The sequence below is a fragment of the Homo sapiens genome, chromosome 7, assembly GCF_000001405.40.
Source record: "Homo sapiens chromosome 7, GRCh38.p14 Primary Assembly".
Classification (NCBI taxonomy): domain Eukaryota; kingdom Metazoa; phylum Chordata; class Mammalia; order Primates; family Hominidae; genus Homo; species Homo sapiens.
Genome location: NC_000007.14, coordinates 5,512,935 through 5,525,824, shown reverse-complemented (window position 1 = coordinate 5,525,824; position 12,890 = coordinate 5,512,935). Strand labels below are relative to the sequence as shown.

The window sequence follows — 12,890 nt, the reverse complement described above, 5'->3', positions numbered from 1 at the left end:
TAATCATTCAACCCCCATTCATTGAGTGACCACTCTACGGTGGGGGAGGCTACTGAGATGACCTGGACAAGGACCCTGCCCTGGAGGAGCTGTCAGTCTGGAAGTGAGGATTTAATTCATTTGCCCATTCATTCATTCATTCATTCATTCATTGAGGACTTAATTCATTTGCTCATTCATTCATTCATTTGCTCATTCATCCATTCATTCATCCATCCATCCATCCATCCAATCACTATTTGTGCCAGATAGTGCGGGTATAGAGGAGAACCAACCAGATGTGTTCCGTGTCCTCACCAGGCACCCAGTTTAATGGGGAAGACATCACAAGCACGAAGGCAAACAAATGAGTGTACAGTGACATGCTGTGATCATAGGAAGAGAGAGCAGAGACTTTGATGAACACGAGCATCGGGTGATGTTCATTATGTCGATTGTGGTGGTGGTCTTGCAGGTGTAGACATACTTCAAACCTTATCTAATTGGGCCTGCTGTGGTGACGCATGCTTGTAATCCCAGCATTTTGGGAAGCTGAGGTGGGAGGATCACTTGAGCCCAGGAGCTCAAGGCTGCAGTGAGCTATGATTGCACCACTGCACTCCAGCCTGGGTGACAGAACAAGACCGTGACTCTTAAAAATTAAAATAGGCCAGGCAGGCGTGGTGGCTCGCGCCTGTAATCGCAGCACTTTGGGAGGCTGAGGCAGGTGGGTCATTTGAGCCCAAATGCAGCCTAGGCAGCATAGTGAGATCCTGTCTCAATTTTTTTCTTTTTTTTGAGATGGAGTCTTGTTCTGTCACCCAGGCTGGAGTGCAGTGGTGTGGTGTGATCTTGGCTCACTGCAACTTTTGCCTCCTGGGTTCAAGCGATTCTCCTGTCTCAGTCTCCTGAGTTGCTGGGATTACAGGCATGTGTCACCACGCCTGGTTAGTTTTTGTATTTTTCACAGATACAGGGTTTTGCCATGTTGGCCAGGCTGGTCTTAAACTCCTGACCTCAGGTGATCCACCCGCCTTGGCCTCCCAAAATGCTGGGATTACAGGCGTGAGCCACCACGCCCGGCGGTTGTGCACTCCTTATGAGCATCTAATGCCTGATGATCTGTCACTGTCTCCCATCAGCCCCAGATGCGACTATCTAGTTGCAGGGAAAGAAGCTCAGGGCTCTCATTGATCCTATATCATGATGAGTTGTAGAATTATTTTATCATATATTAGAATGTAATAATAGAGATGGTGTACGCAATAAGCGTAATGTGCTTGAATCATCCCAAAACCATCCCCCTGCCCCCATTCATGGGAAAATTATCTTCCACGAAACTGGTCCCTGGTGTCAAAAAGACGGGACTGCTGACATTGGTGATGCACAGCTGGGACAGCTTCACCCATAGGTTGACCAGCAACTTCAGCAGCTCCTGCTTCTTGCCAAGGAAGTCCCAGCCTTAATCTTGCGTATAGCTGCACAAGCGTCTGCTGCCACCACCTACTCCAAGAGAAAGAGGAAGAGGGCCAGAAACACAGATTTTAAAAAGCAAAGGGAGACCAGCCTGACCAACATGGTGAGACCTCATCTCTACTAAAAACACAAAAGTTAGCCGGGCAGGGTGGCGTGCACCTGTAATCCTAGCTACTCGGGAGGCTGAGGCAGAAGAATCACTTGAATCTAGGAGGCAGAGGTTGCATTGAGCCAAGATTGTGTCACTGCACTCCAGCCTGGGAGACAGAGTGAGACTCTGTCCCCTCCCCCCAAAAAACAAAGGAGCCAGGTGCAGTGTCTCATGCCCGTCATCCTAGCACTTTGGGAGACTGAGGCAGTCGGATCACGTGAGGTCAAGAGTTCATCCCAGCACTTTGGGAGACCGAGGCAGTCGGATCACATGAGGTCAGGAGTTCGAGACCAGCCTGGCCATCGTGGTGAAACCCCATCTCTACTGAAAATACAAAAAATTATCTGGGCATAGTGGTGCACACCTGTAATCCCAGCTACTCAGGAGGCTGAGGCGGGAGAATCGCTTGAACTTGGGAGGTGGAGGTTGCAGTGAGCTGAGATCGCACCACTGCACTCTAGCCTGGGCAACACAGTGAGACTCCATTTCAAAAAAAAAAAAAGCAAAGGATCACTGAACATGGGCAGACATGGGGGTAGGGAGAGAGGAGCTGTCACTCTTTTTCTGTTGTTTTATTTTTTGTAGAGATGGGGTCTTGCTATATTGCCCAGGCTGGTCTTGAACTCCTGGCCTCAAGCCATCCACTCGTCTTGGCTCCCCAAAGTGCTGGGTTTGCAGGCGTGAGCCATCACGTCCAGCCTATTTCATTTTTTACAATCAGAGTCTCACTCTGTCACCCAGGCTGGAGTGCAGCACTGTGATCATAGTTTACTGTAACCTCCAACTCCTGGACTCACACAATCCTCCCGCCTCGACCTCCCACGTAGCTGGGACTACAGGTGTGGACCACCATGCCTGGCTAATTGGGCCGTCACTCTTGAGTAGGCTTCCCCAGAGGGCTTCCTGGAGGAAGAATGCTTGAGCTGGCTCCGGAGGCCAGAGGAGTCCCCTGGGGAGGTGGTGTGTCTCAGAGGCATGGATTGACTGGGGACACAGGCCCAAAGAGGAGATACAACCTCCAAGACAGAATGGAGCATTGGTTGATTGTCAGACACGTTGTCTATGTGGCTTTGGGAAGTCACATCACTGCCCATATCCCCATTTGAGAATTGGGCATATCAGTAACAACTGGAAGGTGACTGTAGCGGGTGCACTCCATCAGTACTTTCATTTTATTTTATTCTTGTTATTTTTTTGAGACAGAGTCTCACTCTGTCACCCAGGCTGGAGTGCAGTGGTGCGATCTCGGCTCACTGCAACCTCTACCTCTTGGGTTTAAGCAATTCTCTTGTCTCATCCTCCCTTGTAGCTGGGACTACAGGCGCGTGCCACCATGCCTGGCTAATTTTTGTGTTTTTAGTAGACACAGGGTTTCGTTATATTGTACAGGCTGGTCTCAAACTCCTGACCTCAGGTGATCCGCCCACCTTGGCCTCCCGAAGTGCTGGGATTACAGGCATGAGGCCCTTTTATTTTATTTATTTATTTTTTTAGATGGAGTTTCACTCTTGTCACCCAGGCTAGAGTGCAATGGCGTGTTCTCGGCTCACTGCAACCTCTGCCTCTTGGGTTCAAGCGATTCTCCTGTCTCAGCCTCTTGAGTAGCTGGGATTTCAGGCACACGCCATCACACCAGGCTAATTTCTTTTGTATTTTTAGTAGAGATGGGGTTTCACTATGCTGGCCAGGCTGGTCTCGAACTACTAACCTCAGGTGATCCACCTCCCTCGGCCTCCTGAAGTTCTGGGATTACAGGTGTGAGCCACTACGCCTGGCTATTTTATTTTTATTTTTAGAGATGTGATCTTGTTCTGTTGCCCAGGCTTAGTGCAGTGGTGTAATCGTCGCTCACTGCAGCCTCGAACTCCTGGCCTCAAGTGATCCTTCTATCTGTTGGTCTCCTAGAGGGCTGGGATTACCAGCATGAGCCACTGCGCCTGGCCAAGACTTTCCTTTTTTTTTTTTTTTTGAGACAGAGTCTTGCTCTGTCGCCCAGGCTGGAGTGCAGTGGGGCAATCTCGGCTCACTGCAGCCTCCGCCTCCCGGGTTCACACCATTCTCCTGCCTCAGCCTCCCAAGTAGCTGGGAGTACAGGCACCTGCCACCACGCTCGGCTAATTTTTTGTATTTTTAGTAGAGACGGGGTTTCACCGTGTTAGCCAGGATGGTCTCGATCTCCTGTCCTCGTGATCCGCCCGCCTCGGCCTCCCAAAGTGTTGGGATTACAGGCGTGAGCCACCAGGCCCAGCCTAGAGATGGAGTTTCACCATGTTGGCCAGGCTGGTCTCGAACTCCTGACCTCAAATGATCCGCCCACCTCAGCCTCCCAAAGTGCTGGGATTACAGGCGTGAGCCGCCGCACCCGGCCTCACCTGGCTAATTTTTAAAAATCTTTTGTAGAGATGGAGGTCTTGCTATATTGCTTGGGCTGATCTGAAACTCCTGGCCTCAAGCAGTCCTCTTGCCTCCACCTTCCAAAGTACTGGGATTACACGTATGAGCCACCTGTAATTAAATGCAGATATTTAATTAATCAAATATGACTAATTACTTAAATATTTAATTAATTAAAAATGCATATTTAATTACCCACGATGATGGAACACTTGATCTTAGCCAAAACGCTGAGTAGTGGTAACTATCCACAGTGATAAATGCCATCTAGGAATATTCCGAGGGACAATGGCAGAGGATGCGACGGAATCGTGACATGGTCTAGGGAAGGGTAGGGGTTCTGCAGAAGGGATGTGAGGAAGATGAAGAGAAATTAGCCATAGTTGGGGTGAGGGCCACTCACCAAGGTGAGTAGCTCATGCAACGGCCCTGAGGCCATTAGGTATGAGTGGGAGGATCCCCAGGAGTGAGAAGGCCAGATATGCAGTTCAAGCCTGGCCCAGTGGCTCACACCTGTAATCCCAGCACTTTGGGAGGCTGAGACGGGTGGATCACTTGAGGTCAGGAGTTCAAGAGCAGCTTGGCCAAATGGCGAAACCCTGTCCCTACTACAAATACAAAAATTAGCTGGGCATGGTGACACGTGCCTACAATCCCAGCTAGTCAGGAGGCTGAGGCAGGAGAATCACTTGAACCCGGGAGGTGAAGGTTTCAGTGAGCTAAAATCACGCCATTGCACTCCGGCCTGGGTGACAGAGTTAGACTCCGTCTTGGGGAAAAAAAAAAATTAGCTGGGTGTGGTAGCACATGCCTGTAATCCCAGCTACTCAGGAGGCAATGCTGGAGAATTGCTTGAACCTGGGAGGCAGAGGTTGCAGTGAGCTGAGATTGCACCATTGCACTCCAGCCTGGGCGACATGAGCAAAACTCCGTCTCAAAAAAAAAACAAAAACGCAGTTCCAAAAAAATTAATAGACTTTATTTTTTAGAGCAGTTTTAGGTTCCCAACAAAACTGAATGGTGAGTGCAGAGTTCCCAGGTACCCGCTGTCCCCAGACACCCACAGACTCCCCCTCTATCCACACGCCCACCAGAGGGTTACATGTTACAGTTGATGAAACTGCGTTGACACGGTATCACCCAGAGTCCACGGTTTACACTAGAATTCATACTTTTTTTTTTTTTTTTTGAGACAGAGTCTCGCCCTGTCACCCAGGCCGGAGTGCAATGTCACCATCTCGGCTCACTGCAACCTCCGCCCCCTGAGTTCAAGCAATTCTCCTGCCTCAGCTTGCCGAGTAGCTGGGATTATAGGGGTGTGCCACCACACCAGGCTAATTTTTGTATTTTTAGTACAGACAGGGTTTCACCATGTTGACCAGGCTGGTCTCGAACTCCTGACCTCATGATCCACCTGCCTCGGCCTCCCAGAGTGCTGGGATTACAGGCGTGAGCCACAGCGCCCAGCCTAGAATTCATTCTTGAGTTTAGAGACTAGCCTGGGCAACACAGTGGGACTCTTTCTCTATTTAAGAAAGAGAGAAAGAAAAAGAAAAGGAAAGAAAGATAGATGATGGCGACCAGGCGCAGTGGCTCACACCTGTAATCCCAGCACTTTGGGAGGCCAAGGCGGTTGGATCACCTGAGGTCAGGAGTTGGGGACCAGCCTGGCCAATGTGGCGAAACCCCGTCTCTACTAAAAATACAAAAAAATGAGCTGGGTATGGTGGCAGGTGCCTGTAATCCCAGCTACTTGGGAGGCTGAGGCAGGAGAATCACTTGAAACCAGGGGGCAAAAGTTGCAGTGAGCTAAGATCATGCCATTGCACTCCAGCTTGGGAAACAAGAATGAAACTCCATCTCAAAAAAAAAAAAAAGAAAGAAAAGAAAGATAGATGGTAGCATTGCAACCATCCTGGCTAATTTTTGTCGTAATGGGGTTTCGCCAGTTGGCCCAGGCTGGTCTCGAACTCCTGCACTCAAGGAATCTTCCCACCTCTGCCTCCCAAAGTGCTGGGATTACAGCCACTGCGCCTGGCTTCGGACCCCACTGTGGATGAATTGAAAAGGAGTGGAGAGTGGGGCGGTCACAGACCACTACCATAGCCTGCCTCATTTCTGGGTCCTGTGCCAGGGTCTCAGTGAACTCACAGGGCCTAGTGCTCTGTCCTGGCCTCAGGGTCCCACTGCCCACCACAGTCAGCCAGGCGCTCCAGGGGGCTCTCACACCATGAGCTGTGGGGACACTGTGAGGAACTGTCACCCAGATCCGGCCTCTCCAATCCCAGAAAGGCCTGTGTGAGAATAAGAGCAGCCAGGTGCTGGCACCGACTCTGCCCCTGGGGTCTTTGCACCCAACACTCACTGGTTTCCATCTTTCTTTTTTTTCAAGATGGAGTCTCTCTCTGTCACCCAGGCTGGAGTGCAGTGGCGCAATCTCGGCTCACTGCAACCTCCGCCTCCTGGGTTCAAGTGTTTCTTACGTCTCACCCTCTCCAGTAGCTGGGATTACAGGTGCTCGCCATTACACCGGGCGAATTTTTGTATTTTTAGTAGAGACTAAAGTGCTGAGATTACAGGTGTGAGCCACTGCACCCAGCCTCATTGGTTTTCATGTTGAATGTTCCTGAAACTTGGGGACACCCATGCAATGTGGGAGTCCTTCCTTACTAGAATTCATAACAGTATTAGTGGTTATAGTTTCTGTTGATTGAATCACTCCTCTGCACTGGACACGAGATGCATCATCTCATTCAATTCACCATTTATTTGGCAAACATTGATCAAGGGCCTGCTACTGCCAAGCACTGTTCTAGTGGAGGACAGAAAATAAACAGGTCAGGCTGGGCAGAGTGGCTCATGCCTGTAATCCCAGCACTTTGGGAGGTGGGAGGATCGCTTCAGCCCAGGAGTTTGAGATCAGCCTGGGCAACAAAGTGAGACCCTGTCAGTACAAAAAATAAACAAAATTAGCTGGACATTGTGGTGCATGCCTGTGGTCCCAGCTCTCCCTTGGGAGGCTGAGGTGGGAGGACTGCTTCAGTCCAGGAGTTGAGGCTGCAGAGAGCTGTGATTGTGCCATTGCGCTCCAGCCTGGATAACAGAGCAAGATCCTATCTAGGAAAGGAAAAAAAGGGAGTGGGGGGAGGAGAAGGGGAAGGGGAGGGAAAGGGGAAGGGAAGGACTGCTGCAATGAAAAACGTATCTTGTGGCCAGGAGCGGTGGCTCATGCCTGTAATCCCAGCACTTTGGGAGGCCGAGGTGGGCAGATCACCTGAGGTCAGGAACTCGAGACCAGCCTCAACATGGAGAAACCCCGTCTCTACTAAAAATACAAAATTCGCCGGGCGCGGTGGCTCACGCCTGTAATGCCAGCACTTTGGGAGGCAGAGGCGGGCGGATCACGAGGTCAGGAGATCGAGACCACAGTGAAACCCCGTCTCTACTAAAAATACAAAAAATTAGCTGGGCGCAGTGGCGGGCACCTGTAGTCCCGGCTACTCGGGAGGCTGAGGCAGGAGAATGGCGTGAACCCGGAAGGCGGAGCTTGCAGTGAGCCGAGATCCTGCCACTGCACTCCAGCCTGGGCGACAGAGCGAGACTCTGTCTCAAAAAAAAAAAAAAAAAAACAAAATTAGCCAGGCATGCCTGTAATCCCAGCTACTCGGGAGGCTGAGGCAGGAGAATTGCTTGAACCTGAGAGGCAGAGGTTGTGGTGAGCCAAGATCGTGCCGTTGCACTCCAGCCTGGGCAACGAGAGCGAAACTCCATCTCAAAAAAGAAAAGACAAAACAAAAAAAAAAGAAAAGCACATCTTGTAACAGATTATAGGGAAAAAAGGAGGAATGGGTCAGAGAGGCTGGGAAAGAGAATTCCAGGGAAGACGTGCTAGGAAGATGCAACATTTGAGTTATGGCCAGAACCAGCAAGACCAGGGGGAAAGTATTTTCCCCAGAGAAGGGACCCTTGCAGTGCGTAGATGAGACCTTGAGTGTTTCACACATCATGGACCAGAGTGGCTGAGCAGAGGAGAAAGGAGGAGGACAGGCAGGTGGCAGGAGGCCTGGAGGAGAGAAACTTCAGGGTTCTGTGAAACTCTCCCAGATGCTTGCCTGGGCCAGAATTAGGCCCCAATAGCAAACAATGGGAACTATCATTAACACTATTTTTTTTTTTTTGAGGCAGAGTTTCGCTCTTATCCCCCAGGCTGGAGTGCGGTGGCGTGATCTTGGCTCACTGCAACCTCTGCCTCCCAGGTTCAAGAGATTCTCCTGTCTCAGCCTCCCGAGTAGCTGGGATTACAGGCGCCCGCCACCATGCCTGGCTAATTTTTGTATGTTTAGTAGTGACGAGGTTTTGAATGTTGGCCAGACTGGTCTTGAACTCCTGACCTCAGGTGATCTGTCCTCCTCGGCCTCCCAAAGTTCTGGGATTACAGGTGTGAGCCACTGCACCCGCCCCAACACTCATTTTTGTGATACCTAAAGTTGTACTTTACTGTGGACGAAACCATGAGCTCTTTGGGGGCAAGGACTGTCCCTCTGTTCCCCAGCCACCCCCGTGATCCACAATTGGAGCTCACCAGAGACCTCTTCATACTAATAAGTGGATCAAGCCTATGAAGTTGGAGGGGGAAAGAGGCCTGGGGGTTATGAGATGAAACTCAATGTGCTAGGGTAAACAGTGTCCCCCAGATATTCATGTCCACCTGGAACCTCAGAATATGGCCTTATTTATTTATTTATTTATTTATTTATTTATTTTTTGAGACGGAGTCTTGCTCGTCGCCCAGGCTGGAGTGCAGTGGCGCGATCTCCGCTGATTGCAAGCTCCGCCTCGCAGGTTCATGCCATTCTCCTGCCTCAGCCTCGTGAGTAGCTGGGACTACAGGCGCCCGCCACCATGCCCAGCTAATTTTTTGTATTTTTAGTAGAGATGGGTTTCACCGTGTTAGCCAGGATGGTCTCCATCTCCTGACCTCGTGATCTGCCTGCCTCGGCGTCCCAAAGTGCTGGGATTACAGGCATGAGCCACGGCCCCCGGCCTAGAATATGGCCTTATTTGTAATGGGGTCTTTGCAGATGTAATTAGTTAAGGTGAAATCATGTTGGATTGCAATTAGTTAAGGTGAAATCATGCTGGATTAAGATGAGCCCTGGCCGGGTGCGGTGGCTCACGCCTGTAATCCTAGCACTTTGGGAGGCCGAGGCGGGCGGATCACAAGGTCAAGAGACCGAAACCATCCTGGCCAAAGTGGTGAGACCCCGTATCTACTAAAAATACAAAAATGAGCTGGGTGTGGTGGCACGTGCCTGTAATCCCAGCTACTCGGGAGGCTGAGGCAGGAGAATCGCTTGAACCCGGGAGGCGGAGGTTGCAGTGAGCCAAGATCGTGCCATTGCACTCCAGCCTGGGCGACAGAGCCAGACTCCGTCTCAAAAAAAAAAAAAAAAAAAAAAGACGAGCCCTTAAATCCAACATGACTGGTGTCAGAAGACGAGGAGAGGACACATAGAGAGACAGTGGAGAGACGGCCACCTGAAGACCGAGGAAGAAATTGTAGTAATGAGCTGCAGGCCGAGGGACTCCAAGGATTTCAGGGAACCACCCAAGCTACGAAAAATGTTGGCATGGTGGTTCACACCTGTAATCCCAGCACTTTGGGAGGCTGAGGCAGGAGGATCACTTGAACCCAGGAGTTCAAGACCAGACTGGGTAACACAACAAGACCCTGTCTCTATTAAAAAATATATGAAATTGGCCGGGCGTGGTGGCTCACGCCTGTAGTCCCAGCACTTTAGGAGGCCGAGGTGGGCAGATCACGAGGTCAGGAGATCGAGACCATCCTGGCTAACACAGTGAAACCCCGTCTCTACTAAAAATACAAAAAATTAGCTGGGCGTGGTGGCAGGCGCCTGTAGTCCCAGCTACTCGGGAGGCTGAGGCAGGAGAATGGCGTGAATCCGGGAGGTGGAGCTTGCAGTGAGCTGAGATCACGCCACTGTACTCCAGCCTGGGCGACAGAGCGAGACTCCATCTCAACAAAAAAATATGTATATATGTATATTTATATATGTGTATATATATATAAAATTAAAAGGAAAAAGCAAGGGAGGATCCTCTAGAGCCTTTGAAGGGAGCATGATCCACTATCATCTTTATTTACGATTTCTGGCCTCTGGAACTGTGAGAGAAGACATTTCTGCTGTTTACGCTACCCCGTTTGTGAAACTTTGTTAGGCCAGCCCTAGAAAATGAATACACTTGCTTAGGGTCACCCAGAATTAGTTCCAGTATTCAAACCCAGTTCTTTTTTCTTTCTTTCTTCTTCTTTTTTTTTTTCATGATTTTAAGATTTTATTTTTTTGAAATGGAGTCTCGCTCTGTTGCCCAGGTTGGAGGTACCATCTTGGCTCACTGCAACCTCCATCTCCTGGGTTCAAGCAATTCTGCTGCCTGAGCCTCCCAAGTAGCTGGGATTACAGGTGCACACCACCACGCCTGGCTAATTTTTGTATTTATTTTTTTAGTAGAGACGGGGTCAGGCTAGTCTCGAACTCCTGACCTCAGGTGATTCACCTGCCTCGGCCTCCCAAAGTGCTGGGATTACAGGCATGAGCCACTGCGCCTGGCCTTTTTTTTTTTTCTTTCTTCGTCTTATTTTTTTGTAGAAAGAAGTCTTGCTGTGTTGCCCAGGCTGGTCTCAAACTCCTGGGCTCAAGCGATCCTCCTGCCTCAGCCTCCCAAAGTGCTGGGATTACAGGCGTGAGCCACTGTGCTTGGCCTCAAACCCAGTTCTTTTGATTCCAGAGAATGAACTTTCCCCAGGGATTTTTATTAGTAAAATATTTTTATGTATTTATTTGTTGAGGAGACAAGAGTCTTGCTCTGTCATCCAGGCTGGAGTGGAGTGGCGCAATCTCAGCTCACTGCAGCCTGGAACTCCTGGGCTCAAGCGATCCTCCCCCTCAGTCTCCAGGAAATGTTTATTTTTTGTAGAGGGCCTGGGGGTTCTTGCTGTGTTGCCCAGGCTGGTCTGGAACGACTGGCCTCAAGGGATCCTCCCGCTTGGGCCTCCTGAAATGCTGGAATTACAGGCGTGAGCCATCCTGTCGGCTCTAAGTATGTATGTATGTATGTATGTATGTATGTATGTATGTATGTATTTATTTTGAGACGGAGTCTCACTCTGTTGCTCCATCTGGAGTGCAGTGGCCAGATCTCAGCTACTGCAACCTCCGTCTCCCGGGTTCAAGCACTTCTCCTGCCTCAGCCTCCCGAATAGCTGGGACTACAGGCGTGCGCCACCACGCCCAGCAATTTTTGTATTTTTAGTAGAGACGGGGTTTTACCATGTTGGCCGGGCTAGTCTCAAACTCCTGACCTCAGGCGATCCGCCCGCCTCGGCCTCCCAAAGTGCTGGGGTTACTGGCATGAGCCACCAAGCCCGGCCGGGTCTAATTATTTTAAAACGCAAACGCTTAAGTATGAGGGTGCATACATTCATGTTTACTTAGCAAATATGTATTCAGTCAGTGTCTATCACATTCCAGGGATAGTTTCAGGTATTGGGAAATCCTGTCCCTGCTTACAGTTTATTAGAGGAGGATAAAAAAAAAAAGATACCGTCGGTCAGATGGTGCAAAAATCTATAGAGACACAGGATGAGAGGCAAGTTTCGGGGCGTGTGTGAAGGTAGAGAGGAGGCGACGCTATTCCATGAGGGGTGCGGTGCGCAGGACCTGTGGCGTTTGCACACGAAAGACAGTGGGAAGGGCAGATGCAAAAGCCTGGCGCGAGGAACGTGCTAGGCCGGCATCGGGAGGCCGGGTGGCTGGAAAGGAGCGTGCAGACGGCAGAGGGGCCTAAGAACGAGCTCAGAGAAGAGGCAGAGGTCCTTGGAGCCCTTCTTGGCTCCCTCGTACTCCAGCAGCTCCCCGGGCGGAGCCACATTCAACATGGCGGCCGCCTAGGGCCCGCCTGCGGACGAACGGAAGTGCGTGTAGGCGGGCGCCGGAAGTGACGAGAGCCCGCTCCTTGCCGGGGTCTCGGTTGAGCGGTGGACGCGCCGGCTTCGAGCATCCCTAGCCGGGCAGGTGGGAGGCACGGGGTTGCGGATCCCGCGGCCGCGGTTCGGACCCGCCGGCGACATGGCCAGCTCCGGAGAGGTACTGTCCGCGACTGTCTCCGCTCTGCTTCTGCCTCGGCGGCCTCGGTCTCCCTGGGTTCTTCCATCCCGACCCGGGTTCCCTTGCATCCTTTCTATCCCGACCCCTACCCCGCCCCGTCCTTCCCATCCTGACCCTGGCCTTGCCCCTGCTCCCGTCCTTCCCGCATCCTGTCCCCAAGACTCCTACCCTGTCTCGGAAGGCACAAGCTGTCTCCCCCTTCGCTCGTGCATTCCTGATCGCCAGAGTTGTCCCCGTCTCTCCGTCCCCTGAGGGTCCAGGCTCCTCCGAGACCCCTTTCTCAGTGCCCCGGTTCCTTGGCTGGGCCCCTGCAGCCCTGGGACATTCCCCCTCCGTGCCCACGTCCCACTCCATCTTCTATCTCTGGATGCTCAGTTTCAGCCCCAGCCCACTTCTCCCTGGAGCCTGCTTGCTGAATGACGTGGGGGGTGGGTGATGGAGGAAAAGCCATTTCACCTGAGGGACTTACGACGTACCCTGGAATTCTTTCCCAACACTCCCCAAATCTGGGTCCGATGGAGAAGCCCGCCGCGTCCCTGTAATGTGGTGCAAAGTATTGTCTCTGCAGAAAGGGGTGCAGCGGGGACTCTAGACTCTGACTAGTGGCTTCCCGTTGATGCTTCCTGCCTATCTGTATGGGCACCTGGGTTGGTATCTGTCACCTTTCAGGTCTCAGATCGTTGGGTGCACTTCGCAGATTT

At 51.3% G+C, this 12,890-nt stretch overlaps 1 protein-coding gene and 1 long non-coding RNA gene across 7 annotated transcripts in view, besides 12 other annotated features; one reads left to right on the top strand and one right to left on the bottom strand.

Moving 5' to 3' along the window:
- On the bottom strand, window positions 280-11,971 carry LOC221946 (uncharacterized). The gene is made up of 4 exons (NR_126168.1): window positions 11,627-11,971; window positions 4,196-4,340; window positions 3,979-4,111; window positions 280-1,482 (listed from the first exon to the last, which is right to left on the bottom strand). It is a non-coding gene; the product is annotated as an uncharacterized LOC221946 (long non-coding RNA).
- Window positions 446-495: an enhancer, noted in NCBI's record as "active region_25589". NCBI's record gives its function as "activates an Ori minimal core promoter by ATAC-STARR-seq in GM12878 lymphoblastoid cells {active_cell/tissue: GM12878}" and the evidence as "EXISTENCE:reporter gene assay evidence [ECO:0000049][PMID:35858748]".
- Window positions 816-875: an enhancer, noted in NCBI's record as "active region_25588". NCBI's record gives its function as "activates an Ori minimal core promoter by ATAC-STARR-seq in GM12878 lymphoblastoid cells {active_cell/tissue: GM12878}" and the evidence as "EXISTENCE:reporter gene assay evidence [ECO:0000049][PMID:35858748]".
- Window positions 1,686-1,735: an enhancer, noted in NCBI's record as "active region_25587". NCBI's record gives its function as "activates an Ori minimal core promoter by ATAC-STARR-seq in GM12878 lymphoblastoid cells {active_cell/tissue: GM12878}" and the evidence as "EXISTENCE:reporter gene assay evidence [ECO:0000049][PMID:35858748]".
- Window positions 1,846-1,945: an enhancer, noted in NCBI's record as "active region_25586". NCBI's record gives its function as "activates an Ori minimal core promoter by ATAC-STARR-seq in GM12878 lymphoblastoid cells {active_cell/tissue: GM12878}" and the evidence as "EXISTENCE:reporter gene assay evidence [ECO:0000049][PMID:35858748]".
- Window positions 2,136-2,305: an enhancer, noted in NCBI's record as "active region_25585". NCBI's record gives its function as "activates an Ori minimal core promoter by ATAC-STARR-seq in GM12878 lymphoblastoid cells {active_cell/tissue: GM12878}" and the evidence as "EXISTENCE:reporter gene assay evidence [ECO:0000049][PMID:35858748]".
- Window positions 2,376-2,815: an enhancer, noted in NCBI's record as "active region_25584". NCBI's record gives its function as "activates an Ori minimal core promoter by ATAC-STARR-seq in GM12878 lymphoblastoid cells {active_cell/tissue: GM12878}" and the evidence as "EXISTENCE:reporter gene assay evidence [ECO:0000049][PMID:35858748]".
- Window positions 10,800-11,385: an enhancer, noted in NCBI's record as "H3K27ac-H3K4me1 hESC enhancer chr7:5554071-5554656 (GRCh37/hg19 assembly coordinates)". NCBI's record gives its function as "activates a minimal SCP1, AML or CMV promoter by ChIP-STARR-seq in primed H9 embryonic stem cells {active_cell/tissue: H9 hESC(primed)}" and the evidence as "EXISTENCE:reporter gene assay evidence [ECO:0000049][PMID:30033119]".
- Window positions 11,386-11,972: an enhancer, noted in NCBI's record as "H3K27ac-H3K4me1 hESC enhancer chr7:5553484-5554070 (GRCh37/hg19 assembly coordinates)". NCBI's record gives its function as "activates a minimal SCP1, AML or CMV promoter by ChIP-STARR-seq in primed H9 embryonic stem cells {active_cell/tissue: H9 hESC(primed)}" and the evidence as "EXISTENCE:reporter gene assay evidence [ECO:0000049][PMID:30033119]".
- Window positions 11,386-12,019: a biological region, named in NCBI's record as "H3K27ac-H3K4me1 hESC enhancer GRCh37_chr7:5553484-5554070".
- Window positions 11,850-12,019: an enhancer, noted in NCBI's record as "active region_25583". NCBI's record gives its function as "activates an Ori minimal core promoter by ATAC-STARR-seq in GM12878 lymphoblastoid cells {active_cell/tissue: GM12878}" and the evidence as "EXISTENCE:reporter gene assay evidence [ECO:0000049][PMID:35858748]".
- Window positions 11,973-12,559: an enhancer, noted in NCBI's record as "H3K27ac hESC enhancer chr7:5552897-5553483 (GRCh37/hg19 assembly coordinates)". NCBI's record gives its function as "activates a minimal SCP1, AML or CMV promoter by ChIP-STARR-seq in primed H9 embryonic stem cells {active_cell/tissue: H9 hESC(primed)}" and the evidence as "EXISTENCE:reporter gene assay evidence [ECO:0000049][PMID:30033119]".
- The window catches only part of FBXL18 (F-box and leucine rich repeat protein 18), a 59,385-nt gene continuing 58,510 nt past the window's right edge, over window positions 12,016-12,890 (top strand). For all 6 annotated transcript variants that reach the window (NM_001363441.2, NM_001367781.1, NM_001367780.1 and 3 more), the window contains exon 1: window positions 12,016-12,168. In NM_001363441.2, the coding sequence (NP_001350370.1) occupies window positions 12,151-12,168 (18 nt within the window). In that variant the 5' untranslated portion in view covers window positions 12,016-12,150. The remainder of the gene's footprint in view (window positions 12,169-12,890) is intronic.
- Window positions 12,030-12,089: an enhancer, noted in NCBI's record as "active region_25582". NCBI's record gives its function as "activates an Ori minimal core promoter by ATAC-STARR-seq in GM12878 lymphoblastoid cells {active_cell/tissue: GM12878}" and the evidence as "EXISTENCE:reporter gene assay evidence [ECO:0000049][PMID:35858748]".